The 14,500-nt window shown below is 54.1% G+C and overlaps 2 protein-coding genes and 1 long non-coding RNA gene across 4 annotated transcripts in view, besides 2 other annotated features; 1 reads left to right on the top strand and 2 right to left on the bottom strand.

Moving 5' to 3' along the window:
* Positions 1-345: 345 nt before the first annotated feature.
* Positions 346-5,657, bottom strand: LOC124902564 (uncharacterized). The gene is made up of 2 exons (XR_007062397.1): positions 5,066-5,657; positions 346-492 (listed from the first exon to the last, which is right to left on the bottom strand). It is a non-coding gene; the product is annotated as an uncharacterized LOC124902564 (long non-coding RNA).
* Positions 5,279-5,786: an enhancer, noted in NCBI's record as "H3K27ac-H3K4me1 hESC enhancer chr10:135237945-135238452 (GRCh37/hg19 assembly coordinates)". NCBI's record gives its function as "activates a minimal SCP1, AML or CMV promoter by ChIP-STARR-seq in naive H9 embryonic stem cells {active_cell/tissue: H9 hESC(naive)}" and the evidence as "EXISTENCE:reporter gene assay evidence [ECO:0000049][PMID:30033119]".
* SPRN (shadow of prion protein) lies at positions 5,602-9,561 on the top strand. 2 transcript variants are annotated; one of them, NM_001012508.6, is made up of 2 exons: positions 5,602-5,750; positions 6,530-9,561. In NM_001012508.6, the coding sequence occupies exon 2, from the start codon at positions 6,546-6,548 to the stop codon at positions 6,999-7,001; it is 456 nt and encodes a 151-aa protein (NP_001012526.2). In that variant the 5' UTR covers positions 5,602-5,750; positions 6,530-6,545; the 3' UTR covers positions 7,002-9,561. The 2 variants fall into 2 exon arrangements, with proteins under 2 accessions (NP_001012526.2, NP_001378903.1); NM_001391974.1 differs by having other exon boundaries at positions 5,602-5,754.
* Positions 6,605-7,224: an enhancer, noted in NCBI's record as "H3K27ac-H3K4me1 hESC enhancer chr10:135236507-135237126 (GRCh37/hg19 assembly coordinates)". NCBI's record gives its function as "activates a minimal SCP1, AML or CMV promoter by ChIP-STARR-seq in primed H9 embryonic stem cells {active_cell/tissue: H9 hESC(primed)}" and the evidence as "EXISTENCE:reporter gene assay evidence [ECO:0000049][PMID:30033119]".
* Positions 7,707-14,500, bottom strand: part of MTG1 (mitochondrial ribosome associated GTPase 1) — a 28,364-nt gene continuing 21,570 nt past the window's right edge. Inside the window, exons 10-11 of the mRNA NM_138384.4 lie at positions 10,635-10,747; positions 7,707-10,201 (exon numbers count right to left, since the gene is read on the bottom strand). Of these exons, the coding sequence (NP_612393.2) occupies positions 10,062-10,201; positions 10,635-10,747 (253 nt within the window). The 3' untranslated portion in view covers positions 7,707-10,061. The remainder of the gene's footprint in view (positions 10,202-10,634; positions 10,748-14,500) is intronic.

Below are 14,500 nucleotides of genomic sequence, written 5' to 3'. Positions count from 1 at the left end.
CAAGCATCTCCTTGAGCAGTGGAGGGGCAGAGATGCCAGACCTGGGCCTCAGCACTGCCAGGACAGCTCCTTGCCACAGCAGCTAGGAGCCTCCAGCCCAGGAGAAGCTGGGCCTGGAGCTCACAAGAAGCCCCCTCTCACGGCCTCTCCCCTGACCCTCTCGGATGAACAGCTGCTATGGAGGCCAGCCACTCTGCCCAGTCCTGCAGGCCCAGAGGGATGGTCTCCTTGCCATGAGGTCCCAGCTTCTCAGAGCAGAGCCTGAGGCCAGGTGAGCAAAGGGCTCTGGCACATCCAGGCAGCACCACCAAACACACAGGTGTCCCCTTTCCTCAGAAACAGGAATGTCATTTTGTGTCCTTTTATTGAAAACTCCATGGGTCTAATGAATAGACAACATGCCCTTACCTGTTTTCTCTGCCTTTTCTCTCTGGTGCTTGAGGGCAGAAACTAAGTTGACCGAGCACGTCTCTTCCTATTGGGCTGCGGCACCTGGTTGTGGGGAGGTATCTCTCACTTGATTTCAGTTTTTCCATGCCCCAATCCCACCTCCCTCATCACAGCCACCCAGTGTGATGCATTCAGCATGTGTCCTTGGAGAGAGAGGTACTCAACAGATGCGTGGTATTTGTGTTTTAAATTTATGTCAATGAGTTTTCACTCTAAATCTCCTTTCTTACTATTTTTGTTTTGTATATTGTGAGGTTATGTCATGAAGTGCATACAGATTTAGAAATGTTTTATCATCTTGGTAAATTTACCTTTCATCACTAAGAGGCATTACTCTTTGTCCCTAGTAGTGCTTTTACCTCAACCTTTAAGTATAAAGTCTACTTTGTCTGGCATTAATACAGCTACACTGGCTTCCTTTTAGTTAGTATTTGCATGGTATCTATTTTTTATCCATGCCAATTATTAATCTGCTGCCTCTTAGCTTCTAACCACCCTTCACAGTCAGCTCTGTGACGCTGGGACAGGGACTTGACAAACTGCATTTCTGCTTTGTCACCCACTGCCTCTTTCTGTTGAGAAGTCAGCTGCCAGTCTTACTTTTACTCTTTTGCAGGTAATTTGAGTTTCCCGCTTCTGGAAGTTGTTTGGTTTACAGCTGTCTTACCTAGGTATGCCTTTTTTTTTTTTTTTTTTTTTTTTTTTTTTTTGATTTATTGCACTTGGAGTTTGTAATGCCTCTAGAATTCATGATTTAATTTCTTTCATCAGTTTTTGGAACTTATTGGTGATTATTTCCTTAAATATTACATCTACCTCATTCTCTTCTTCCATTGGTTCTAATATTACATGGCATGTCAGGCCTTTCTATAGTGTACCCTCTGCCTCCTAACATCCTATTCTGCATGCTTTTTTTTTTCTGGATATTTTCTGATCTTTCAGGTTACTAATTCTCTCTCTAGCCATGTCTAATCTTCTGTGTTTTAAAATGTATTTTTTGATTCTAGACTTTCCTTTTTGTCCTTTTAGTTTCCCATTCTCTACTAAAATTCTCAATCTTGTTTTATTCCTGTAGACGTGGACAGGCTCCTACATGAGTTTCTTAATGGTATCCTTGTTCTCTTGTGTTGGTCTCTGTCTAATCCTTGCCAAGACTGGGTTGTTTTATTACTATGGCTTTTTATGTCTTAATATGACATGGTGAGTTACTCTTCTTTGATCTTCTTTTTCAAAATTATTTTATTAATAGTTATTTTAGGCCTTTATTTTTCCATATAGACTTTAGAAACTTTTGGGCTCTGTGCTATTTTGTTACTACCATAACAAAGTGCCACAGACAGGGTGGCTTAAACAACAGAAATTTGTTTTCTCACAGTTTGGCAGGGTTGGTTTCTTCTGCAGCCTCTCTTCTTGGCTTGTAGACACCATCTTCTCCCTATGTCTTCACAGGGCCATCCCACAGTGGGTGTCTGGGTCCTGAGTTGCTCTTGTTAACGACATCAAGCTCACCTCACCTCATTTAACCTTAGTCACCTCTTTAAGGTCCTATTTCCAAATGCACCCACCCCCACAGTATTAGGGGTTGGGACTTCAATGCATGAATTTGAGGGAGACACGGTTCAGCTCATAACAGAGTCTTTTAAAAATTATGTAAAGATTTTTATTGTAATTTCATTAAATTTATGGATCAATTTGTGGTGAACTGTCACCTTCACAATATCCTGTGCATCCTCCATTTATGCAGATTTTCTTTTATATTCTTTAATAACTTTAGGATGTTCTTCATAGAGGTCTTTTACATTGCGGACTGTGGTGAATGGCTTTTTTTTTTTTTTTTTTTTTGGAGGAGGAGTCTTGCTCTGTCACCCAGGCTGGAGTGCAGTGGCGCAATCTCAGCTCACTGCAACCTCCACCTCCTGGGTTCAAGTGATTCTCGTGCCTCAGCCTCCCGTGTAGCTAGGATTACAGGCATGTACCACCATGACTAGCTAATTTTTGTAATTTTAGTAGAGACGGGGTTTCACCATTTTGACCAGTCTGGTCTCGAACTCCTGGCCTCAGGTGATCTGCCCGACTCGGCCTCCCAAAGTGCTAGGATTACAGGCATGAGCCATCGTGCCAGACTATGAATGGCTTTTTATCTTATATTTTTTAAAGCTATTTTTTGTTCTGGTAGAGAAATTCTACCATCTTTTAAATCTAAGGTATACATCTGGCTGCAAGTCTAGGGAGTACCTGCTTAATACAGGGATGAGATGTGAGACACCCAGCAGTGCAGAGTGGCAGAGCAGCACCGCTGTGTGCCGGGGACAACCCCACCCTCCACCCGCCTAGCCGCTGACCCAGCATCCTGGGGTCTTCCGATGGCAGGAGCCACCCTTGGCACCAAGTCCCACTCCCAGCAGGAAAAAGGGGGAAAGGACAATAGCACACAGGTTCTACGCAGCCCCTCTCCTTAGGGGGGACGGAGGCTCTCCCAGGAGCCCCCGACACCCTCAGTTGCAGGTTTCACCAGCTATGCCTATGTCCTGTGGCCTCTGCCAGCTGCAGCACTTGTGGTGGAATCAGGTCTCAGGGCTACAGCTGCAGGAGCCACCCCACCTTCCATGGTACAATCAGGTCTCAGGGCTGCAGCTTCAGGAGCCACCGTGCCTTCAACGTGCTGTGTTCTTCTTGGTGGCAGCTCTGCCAATGCTGTGTTAAACAGAAGCGGTGAAAGTAGGCAATCTTCTCATTGGTTCGTATTTTTAAAAATACATTTAAAAGCTCTCCACTACGTATGTCTTCTGAGATTAGCCTTTATCAAAGAAAACATTTCACTTCTATGATGAGTTTTCTCAACATGTTTCACCACAAACGAATGTTGATTGAAATCAAATGCTTTGTCTTTCTCTGTAGAAAACCGTATTTTTTGCCTTTGGTCCACTAATAGGTAAAGCACACTGACATATATCATGACATAAAACCACCCTGAACCTGACCTGATCATGGTGATTTGCTTTCTGATGTGCCGCTGGACTCATTGTGCTGCTGCTTTATTTAAAACTTTCATGTCTCTACTCAAACATAAAACAGCCTAAATGTTTCTCTTGCGCTTCTCTTATACACCCTAAGATACATCCTATACATCTTAAGATAGAAGGCTTCTGGAATCATAAAATCAGCTGGAGCACCGCCTCCCCCTTCCTTTTCCCATTCTGTGTTCTCGGCCTTGGAACAACTGTTAGATGTTAGAGCCCAAAATGGATCCCCTGGGTCTATCCCCTTTTCTTTCATATTTGCTGCCTTTTTGCCAGAAACATTTCCTTAAATATACAATTCCATCCTTCTGTTGGTTTTTTTTTTTTGCAGTAATTTTTTAATCTCAAAAGTGTCTTTTTTGTCTTATTTCATCTTCACAGTTTCCTGTTCTTATTATATAAATATATCTCCCTAATCTGAGTCTATGGATTGGAGTTTTATCCAATCCATTCATTCCAATGATTGGAATGATTGGAGTCATTCACATTTCTCAATCCATTTATTTTCCGTTTCTTTGCCTGGTCTTTCTTTTATGTGATGCAGCTCTCCTTGAATGTCTGATACATTTTCATCCTTTAAAATGAAGCCGATGGGTGACAGGAAGACGTGCTTCCATGAAAGGCAGTGTTTCACTCCGGAACCTCAGCTCCCGCACGCTGGATCCAGATCCACAGCATCCCCAGGACCTCTTCTCCCCTCTGGGTCCTGCCCCCATCTCACTGGCTCCCATCTCAGATTCCCTGTGAGGCTCCACGCTTGGCTTCACATGCAAAGTCTAGGGGTGAGGGGCCCCTCCCAGCCTCTCAGCTGGCAGTCCTGGGCCTGTGCTGGGAAACATGCCCTCCCCGCCCGCAGCCGGAGGAGCCGCATGGCTGTCTTGAGTGGAGGTCACACATCCCCTCCCAGGGCCAGGGGAGGGAACGGTCACAGATGTTCCTCATGAGCCAAAAATAAGCAAGGTCTGGCTGCGGTGCTGTCCACTGCCGGCTCCAGCACCAGGGGTTGCCCAAGAACCCCCTTGACTCCTTGGGGTAAGCAGCTCACTGCTGGCTGTCCTGTGTGTGATGGGGAAGGGGGACTCAACCCGAGTGTGCAGACCTATGATGACCCCCGCTCCCACCTCCACGTCCCATGGCCACGGCCCCTCCCTTCCAAGCTCCTTCTGCCTGATGGGCAGCACCCCCTCCCGTCTGGAGTCTGCCGGGGCCCTTCCTGCTCTCCTTCTTAATTTATTTTCTGTCTTGGAGGGAAGCTGGGTGCACCTGCTCAGGTGGCCCCCTAGGGCCAGAAGACCTGTCAGTCACTTTCAAATACATGTTCTTTCCAGCTCTTCCTTGCCAAAGGTTCTAAAAACACTGTTGTCCGTCTCACCCAAAAAGCTAAGCTTCTGTCCAATCCTTAACGGTAGCTATAAATGAGAAGCATAAGCTTGGTTTCCTTCTAACATCCGGCAAGTTAGAAGATAGAACGTATTTCTTCACTTATTCATCACATATTTGCAGGGCACCCCTACGCGGGACAGCAGAGGTCCCAGGCCGGTGCTGCACCCGGAGCCAGGCTCGGAGCTGGCCGTGCGCCCTCAGCTGAAACTCACCGGAGGCGCGGCCGCCCTGGGCTGAGAAGACGCCGTCGGCCCAGGTGGCATCAGAACCCACAGGAGGAAGACAGCCAGCCCAGGAGGAGCCATGGGGGGCCTCTGGGGATCGCAAGGGTCGACCCCATCCTCCCTGAAACAAGGCCGGAGGTTGAGGAGGTCTCCGCCCGGCCCCGCAGCTGACAACCGGTGGAGAAACCGCACCTGCCACGGGAGGGGCCGCGGGGTGGGCTCGAGCCACCATGGGGCTGGTACAAGCACCCTCTCCGCTCAGGACCTCGGCCCTCATCCCAGGGCACCAGGGCTCACAGGGGGATGGGCCCGGGTGGGGACGAGGGTGTGGAGGGGCAGGAAGCACGGCGGGTGGAGCGGGGCCGGGTGCGGGGGTCGCGGGGGACCGCGGGGACGGGGCCTTGTGATGCAGGAGACGGAGGGGGCTGGTGACGGAGGACGGGAGGCCGCAAGGATGGGGGACGCGACATCCTTTTCCCCTCCCACCGGCTCACCAGGGATGCGCCTCCGCGACTGCCCGCCCCAATCCCAGGGCGGAGGCCTCGCGCAAAACCCAGGCGCCGCGGCTCCGCGCTCCGGCTGAGGGTCCGCGCCGCCGCCCGCCCGCTCCTTCCCGCTCGGCCGCGGCCTCAGGGACGGATACTCCAGCGCGCGGTTCCAACCGAGGCCCGTGGCGGGTAAGGCCGGGAGGCTGGGGCGGGTACGGGGCCGGGAGCGAGGGGCGGCGCGGGGAGGGGATGCAGCTGTCGCCCGCACAGCCGTGTCTGGACGCGGCCCCGCAACTCGACCCCGTCCCGCCCCCAGCCAGCTGCTGAACTAGGCGGCCGGGGACGGCATTGAGCGCCGGGCGCGCGCGGGAGGGACTGCCCCTGGGGCACGGGTCTGCTGGGGCGGAGTCCGCACGATGTCAGCAGCCGCTTGTCCTCCGCAGCATCCGCAAGGCCCGCACCCAGGCTTTGGCCCCAAAGGTGGGGACCAGGCCCAGGCACGGCCCGTCCCCGTTCCAGACCCTGATCTGAGCCAGCTCTTGGTCCCGGCTACCGCGTCCTCCAAACACAACGCCCCTCCCCCCATGCCGCCTCCCCCCGCCCCCCACATCCCAGCAACGCGTGCAGAGCTCCCTCCCCCAGGCTTGCTCCCCCGCCCGGGCCTGGACGCCCCCAGAGGCCTGAACGCTCCTGCCCCGCTTCTACACCCCCAATCCAGGTGCACAACCTTCAGGTGCAGAACCCTCCTGCCCCACCTGCCACTTCCCAGCGCCTCCCCCAGGCCTAAGTCCCTGATGCTAGAGGTTAAACCGCGCCCCCCCAGGCCTCAGTGGGCCTCCAAGATGCTGGGGGCACCCTGATCCCACAAAAGATGGGGGTCCCTCTGCTCTCCAGCCTTGAGCCCTCCGCCCCTGGGCACCCGATCTCCATGGAAACTAAGGGCCCTTTCCCTCTCTTCCCGCAGGTTTAGCCCCACGAAGATGAACTGGGCACCCGCAACGTGCTGGGCTCTGCTACTGGCGGCCGCCTTCCTCTGCGACAGCGGCGCAGCCAAGGGCGGCCGCGGAGGTGCGCGGGGCAGTGCCCGGGGAGGGGTCCGCGGGGGTGCGCGCGGGGCCTCGAGGGTGCGCGTGAGGCCGGCGCAGCGCTACGGTGCCCCGGGCTCCTCCCTGCGCGTGGCTGCCGCCGGGGCGGCAGCCGGGGCGGCGGCGGGAGCGGCCGCGGGCCTGGCGGCGGGCTCGGGCTGGAGAAGGGCCGCGGGACCCGGGGAACGCGGCCTGGAGGACGAGGAGGACGGGGTGCCCGGAGGCAACGGGACAGGCCCCGGCATCTACAGCTACCGGGCGTGGACTTCGGGCGCTGGACCCACGCGCGGCCCGCGTCTCTGTCTCGTGCTGGGCGGCGCCCTCGGAGCCCTGGGGCTGCTGCGGCCCTAGGCCTGGCTGGGCTCGGGGACCACATCTGGCCCCCGGCCCGCGCCATCCCCCAGGATCCTCCGGCCTGGGCTCCCCCTTCCTCCCTTGCCCACGGTCTTGGAGCCCCACTGGGTGCAGGAGCTGCTGGCTGTCCCTGTGGACCCGCCATCCACCGTCCTGCCCACGCCGCCTCAGCCTGCCACCTCCCACCTAGAGGAGACCATGGGCCCTGCCCCACCCACTCCAGGATGTTAGGGTCCCCTCAGCCAAAAAGGCAGCTGCCTGTGGCTCCTGTACCAACCGCCCAGCCACGCTCCATCGCCGCCCAAAGGGAGGTGCCAAGGCCAGGAACCCAAGCCACCCCGGCTCCCCTCGCCTGCCCAGGGGCCGTGGTGACTCACGGGCAGGGAGGCGACATCAGGCTGGTTCTGCCACTGAGCCCCTGAGGAATCTGACCCTCCCCAAAAGAAGCAGTGAAATGGACCAAAGGACTTAAGAATTTGGGGGGAAGTGAGGGAAAAACGTTAGGTGCTAACCACCTGCCCAGAAGAGTGGATCTCACAGCCCAGGAACATTCCCAAGCAGGAAAACCGTCCGTCCGAGGAACGTCCATCCTGGCTCTCTGCGGCTGGTGGGAAAACACACCCTGCCCTGAGGGGCTGTCCAGGCCTTCTCCCCCACACCCTCAGGCCGAGATCCGTGAGAGACCCACTTTGCTCCAACAACTTGAAACAAGTCACTTTACCCTCCTTAGGACCCATTTTGGGGGGGAAAAACCAACACATTCCAGAGCTTTCCAAGTCCTTTGAACTTCAGGTTCACATTCAGGGATCACACAGTTCTGCCTGTTCTCAGGGCACAGCAACTGCCAATCCCGCTGAAGAGGCCTCCCTGGGCACAGCACAGGCTGCACGGTGCACGCATTTCCCTGAAGGCAGCCCCTTCTTCGGAAGCAGCTGTTCCAGGCCTCGGAACAGGGCCTGGGTATCCGCGTGGTGGGCTGGCAGCTGACGGCCTGCTCAGTGGAGCCAGGAGCTAACTCAGACCCCAAAGCAAGCAGGGGGCCAGTGGCGGGGCCCAGCGCCCAGCAGGACACCCATGCAAGAGGCTGAGCCCCCCAACATCCAAGGACAGGAGAGACATGGAGTGGCGCTGGACAGTCACGACAAGGACTTGCCTCCAGCACTGGACACACCTGTGTTAAGACCAGCCCTCTGCTTCCCAGTCCCGCCAGCCTGGGGCATCCTCCATGGGCTCAGCACTGAGAGGTCTTGGGTCTGCCACGTTCTCTAGCTCTCCAGTCACCCACTCATCCAGGGTAGGAGGGGTTCTCCCTGCCCCCCGCCGTGGCCTTGGGATCTCACCCTCTCCATGTCCTGGGGACAGCCTCGCCCTCAGCCGGACTGCATCCCTCCTGGGCCTGAGCCTCGGGACTCAGTGGACACCAAAGTCAAGACCAGCACCCACCACGGGCCCTGCCAGCCTCTGCCTTCCCCAGCTGGCCTGGGTTCTGGCCTGGGTGAGGATCTGGAAGCTGTTGGCAGGACTCAACCAAGCACTGCTCTCTAGCTCCAGGGCACTAAGCCACAGGAGGCAGCGCCCTGCAGCCTCCCGTCCACACTGCCAGCAATGCCCCTGGCCCAGTGAGCCCAGACGCTCCTCCACCCCTTCCAGACCAAGCTCAACGCCTCCAAGACCAGCAGGCCAAGGCCAAGCCCTGCCCCAGATCCTCATAGGCAGAGAAGCCCTTCTGACATTTCCCCCAGGAGGCAGGGGGTGGTCTGAGTCTCCTCACAGCAGAGAGACCCACCGGAGCCCCCTCAACTTTGCAGATGCCCACCTGGAAAATGGGCTGAGCTGCACCAGACCCTCACACACCACAGCACTGCAAGCTGATGGAATGTTCCAGTTATGATGGACACTTCGTGATCTGCAATGACTGTTGATTCAGCACATTAGCATCTGACACAGCCAACCTGAATACTTCCTGCCCCAGGCGGTCAGGGTTATGGCACGATGCAGGTGGCACTCAGGGGCTAACTTCAGGCTGATGAGTGTGTGGGGTATGGGGCAGCAGAGGCAGCCAGCCAGCAAAGAGGGGCCACTGAGCACCAGGGCCCTGGTGGAGGCTGCTGTGGGACGGTCAGGCCACCACCGCAAAGAGGCAGCCGGAGCTTCTGCACAGGATGTCCCTGGCCCCAGGTCCTGCAGCACCTTAGTCCATACTACCAGCCCCACCCACCTTCCTTCCTCTTCCCTCTTCTAGGACACAGGCTGTGGACCCCTTCAGGTGCACTATAATGGGGCTGGAGGGGCCCCCACATCTCTCAGCCCCACTAATGCAGAATCCCACTACCCGTGAGCTAGAAGGTGCTCAGAGGCCAGGGGTCTCTACTGCCCATGCCGGGCGGCCTTCCAGTCATTGCACAGCAAAGCCATGTGCAGGGCGTCCCCCTCAACCCTGCCCTGAACATGCCCCAGGGCACTGAGGGGCGAAGCCAGTGCTTGGGCTCTGCTGCTGGGAGTCTCTGGTCTGTGTCTGTGTGTGCCTGTAAGTGTGAAATAAACCTCTCTGATGGCAGCAAGCCTCTCACTTGTTGTAGGACTGCAAGACACTGGACCGAAAGCCTCCAACACAAACCCTAGCTGCCAACCTGCTCATTTCTTAGGTTTCACTGGTGAGAGCAGCTTTAACACACAGGCCCAAGGCACTACGGTGCACCTCACAGGCCAGTAAGAAACAGGCCCTTTAACTGGAGATTTTAAAGGTTACAGGTTATAGCTTTAACTCCTTCTGAGACAGCATCCATTTCTCAAGAGGCCTGAGCAGGAAGCTCCGGGAGAACCAAGCATGCGGAGCTGCTCAGGGACGTCCACTGGGAAGCCTGGTGTCCACTCCCACCTGCTTGGGCCCTGCAACTGGGGTCCCTGGAGCTGGCCAGGCTGTGGGGCGCCAGAGAGCACAGCACCCTAGTGACCAGCATGGAGCTTCTGGACCGGGTGAGCTGTCTTGAGCCTCAACCACCCAGGTCAGGAGGTCTGGGAGGCCACATGCCTCCGGCCCTCCCTACCCGGACAAGTTCAGGGCAAAGTCTCAGCCGGGGGGTGGCCCCGCAGGACGTCGAGGTCCAGCATCACGGAACCCAGCAGCCCACGGCGGAAAGTCTGCAGGAAGTCACGGGCTGCCGCAGGATAGTTAGGCTGAATAATGTTCACGTTACCTGGGGGACGGGAGGGTTCAGTGAGGAAGGAGCCTTCACAGCAGGACAGGCCCAGCCCTTACCCACCTGAGGGACCAGCCCTAAGAGGCTCCATGATGGCATCAGGGAAGCCCAGGGAACGGGATCACACTCAGAAAGAAAACAGCTTGAGCTACGCTGCCCGGAGCCTCCAAGGCCAGGCATGTGAGGCCTGCAGGTGTCCACCTAGCACTGCCCAATACGCGGCAGGGCTGGTCTCACCCTCGGAAGCCTGGACTACAAGCCCTTCCTCTCCAGAACTTTCTGTAGCTCCCCTGCCCTGAAACCCATTCCCAGAAGACCCGGCGCATGCTCCTTGACACGTTCCTCTCCTCCCTGCCTCCTCCAGGGATGGCCGGGGTCCCCCAGGGTGATGGGGTGAGGCTCCGGTGCCCGCATCAGCGACCTCACTCACCCGTGCCCGTGAGCACCTTCACCTTCTGCGTCTTCCCCAGCTTCACAGCCACACTCTTCAGCACGCGCTCTACGTTGTCACAGGCACTGCCCAGGCCGTAGTGCTGCACGTACCTGCACATAGGCTGCAGGTCAGCACCAGGGGGCCCAGCACTGACACCGCGCGGCCAGCCAGGCCGGGCCCTTCCTCCTGAATGCCACAAAGGCCACGGCCAGGCACCTCCTGTGGGTGACAGTGACTGCGGCGCTGTGGATGACCAAGATGAGACTGCAGGTGACCGGTGCTGGGCCCCGGGGGAGAGCCACTATCTAAGAATCATCCCTGAGCTTCGTCCTGTGTGGCCACGGCCAGCAGCATGGGGGGCGGCTCCCACCACCGGAGCCCTTGCCGCAGCGGGAGGAGTAACAGCTGTTCACACACACAGGCTTCATCCACTCTATCCGGGGTAGGACAGGCAGGCCTCTGTGCAGGCCCAGGTCCTGGAAACTAAAAGAGGAGCACAGCAGACCATCTGCAAACATACTCTGTTTGCTGCTAAGGATGGCACTCGGTAACTTCCAGGCAGCCAGTACACCTGCATCCTCTCCACCCGGCTGGGTGTTTGAGCGGTGTTTTCCTAGCACAGGGACCAGCATGGGCTGACTAGGCACCCACCGCTGCTAAGCGTCACCCAGTGATTGTAACGGGCACTCTGACTCCTCACAGTGCAGGCTCTGGGCAGAGAGGCCTGGAGGGAAAGGCCAGCACAGAGCAGCCACTCACAGGGACAAACACCACCCTAAGCCTTGGGAGCCCGACTAACCCAGACCCAACACTCTCCCAACCTTCCTGACAGCCAGGGGTGAGGGGAACCTGTCTCGTGGCTCCCACGAGGGCAGGCTCAACCTTGAGGAGGCTGGTGCCCTCGGACCTGGTCACAGCATGAGCCGGTAACAGAGGACTCACCCCAAGGCCCAGCAAAGCAAGACATGAGCTCAGAGCCCATAGGAGCATCAGAACCCTGAGTAACACAGGTTCTAAATCTAACTTCTCGGAGGCACCAAGCATGAGCTCTGAATCAGCAGCCTCAAGGGTGCCCTGGTGCTCCAAAAAAGCTGTCCCAGGAGAGAGGAGCAAGCCTGGAGGAGGCGCCCCGGACCACCCCCGAGACCTGCCAATGGGAAGAACTCCTGAAAGGACCGGACTGTTTCCAATAATCTAACTGTCCCACAACAAAGCTCAAGAATTTTTACAGGAATGTAGATATCCATCACCTAACAAGGTGAAACTCAAAATACATGGCATCCAGCCAGGCATGGTGGCTCACGCCTGTAATCCCAGAACTTTGGGAGGCCAAGGTGGACGGATCACTTGAGGTCAGGAGTTCGACACCAGCCTGTTCACCAATATGGTGAAACCCTGTCTCTACTAAAAATACAAAAATTAGCCAGGTGTGGTGGCACATGCTTGTAATCCCAGCTACTTGGGAGGCTAAGGCGGGAGAATCGCTTGAACCCAGGAGGTGGAGGCTGCAGTGGGCTGAGATTGTGCCACTGCACTGTAGCCTGGCTGGGCGACAGAGTGAGATGCCATCTCAAAAAAAAGAAAAAAAGAAAGTCATTGGTAGCTTGATGGGGATGGCATTGAATCTATAAATTACCTTGGGCAGTATGGCCATTTTCACAATATTGATTCTTCCTACCAATGAGCATGGAATGTTCTTCCATTTGTTTGTATTCTCTTTTATTTCATTGAGCAGTGGTTTGTAGTTCTCCTTGAAGAGGTCCTTCACGTCCCTTGTAAGTTGGATTCCTAGGTATTTTATTCTCTTTGAAGCAATTGTGAATGGGAGTTCACTCATGATTTGGCTGTTTGTCTGTTATTGGTGTATAAGAATGCTGGTGATTTTTGTACATTGATTTTGTATCCTGAGACTTTGCTGAAGTTGCTTATCAGCTTAAGGAGATTTTGGGCTGAGACAATGGGGTTTTCTAGATATACAATCATGTCATCTGCAAACAGGGACAATTTGATTTCCTCTTTTCCTAATTGAATACCCTTTATTTCCTTCTCCTGCCTAACTGCCCTGGCCAGAACTTCCAACACTATGTTGAATAGGAGTGGTGAGAGAGGGCATCCCTGTCTTGTGCCAGTTTTCAAAGGGAATGCTTCCAGTTTTTGCCCATTCAGTATGATATTGGCTGTGGGTTTGTCATAGATAGCTCTTATTATTTTGAGATACGTCCCATCAATACCTAATTTATTGAGAGTTTTTAGCATGAAGGTTGTTGAATTTTGTCAAAGGCCTTTTCTGCATCTATTGAGATAATCATGTGGTTTTTGTCTTTGGTTCTGTTTATATGCTGGATTACATTTATTGATTTGCGTATATTGAACCAGCCTTGCATCCCAGGGATGAAGCCCACTTGATCATGGTGGATAAGCTTTTTGATGTGCTGCTGGCCATCAGAGAAATGCAAATCAAAACCACAATGAGATACCATCTCACACCAGTTAGAATGGCAATCATTAAAAAGTCAGGAAACAACAGGTGCTGGAGAGGATGTGGAGAAATAGGAACACTTTTACACTGTTGGTGGGACTGTAAACTAGTTCAACCATTGTGGAAGTCAGTGTGGCGATTCCTCAGGGATCTAGAACTGGAAATACCATTTGACCCAGCTATCCCATTACTGGGTATATACCCAAAGGACTATAAATCATGCTGCTATAAAGACACATGCACACATGTGTTTATTGCGGCATTATTCACAATAGCAAAGACTTGGAACCAACCCAAATGTCCAACAATAATAGACTGGATTAAGAAAATGTGGCACATATACACCATGGAATACTATGCAGCCATAAAAAATGATGAGTTCATGTCCTTTGTAGGGACATGGATGAAATTGGAAATCATCATTCTCAGTAAACTATCGCAAGAACAAAAAACCAAACACCGCATATTCTCACTCATAGGTGGGAATTGAACAATGAGAACACATGGACACAGGAAGGGGAACATCACACACCTGGGACTGTTGTGGGGTGGGGGGAGGGGGGAGGGATAGCATTAGGAGATATACCTAATGCTAAATGACGAGTTAATGGGTGCAGTACACCAGCATGGCACATGTGTACATATGTAACTAACCTACACATTGTGCACATGTACCCTAAAACTTAAAGTATAATAATAATAAAATAAAATAAAAAGAAAAATATATATATATATATATCATCCAAAAATTGCCAGGCCTACAAAGCAAAAAAACAGACCCCCTAATGAGAAGAAAAATCAGTCAACTCAAACTGACCCAATGTTAGAATTAGCAGACAAGACATTAAATCTAAGCTGAAACACGAAAGATATTTTTTAAAACGATCCAAACTCAACTTGCGGAAGTGAAAACTATGAAAACTACTGAGTGGGATGAACAGCAGATTATACATTGCAGAAGAAAAGATGAGTGAACCCGAAGACACAGCAACAGAAACCACAAAACAGGCACAAAGCTTTACTGAGCTGCGGTGGGGCAAAGCCAAGCAGCCTGACGCCCGCCTGCCCGACGCCCGCCTGCCCGACACCCACGTGCCCGACACCCGCCTGCCCGACACCCGCGTGCCGACACCCGCCTGCCCGACACCCGCGTGCCTGATAACTGCGTGCCTGATACCCACGTGATACCTGTGTGCCTGAGGCCCACGTGCCTGATACCGGCATGCCTGATAACTGCATGCCTGATACCCACCTGCCTGATACCCGCGTGCCTGATACCTGCATGCCTGAGGTCCTGAGGAGTAGAGGGACAGAAAAAACACCTGCAGATATGAAGTTTCAAAATGATGCAAATTTCATGAAAACTACAAAGACCCAGATCCAA

The sequence above is a fragment of the Homo sapiens genome, chromosome 10, assembly GCF_000001405.40.
Source record: "Homo sapiens chromosome 10, GRCh38.p14 Primary Assembly".
Lineage (NCBI taxonomy): Eukaryota > Metazoa > Chordata > Mammalia > Primates > Hominidae > Homo > Homo sapiens.
Note: the sequence above shows the minus strand (reverse complement) of the source record. Positions and strands in the feature narration are given on the sequence as shown.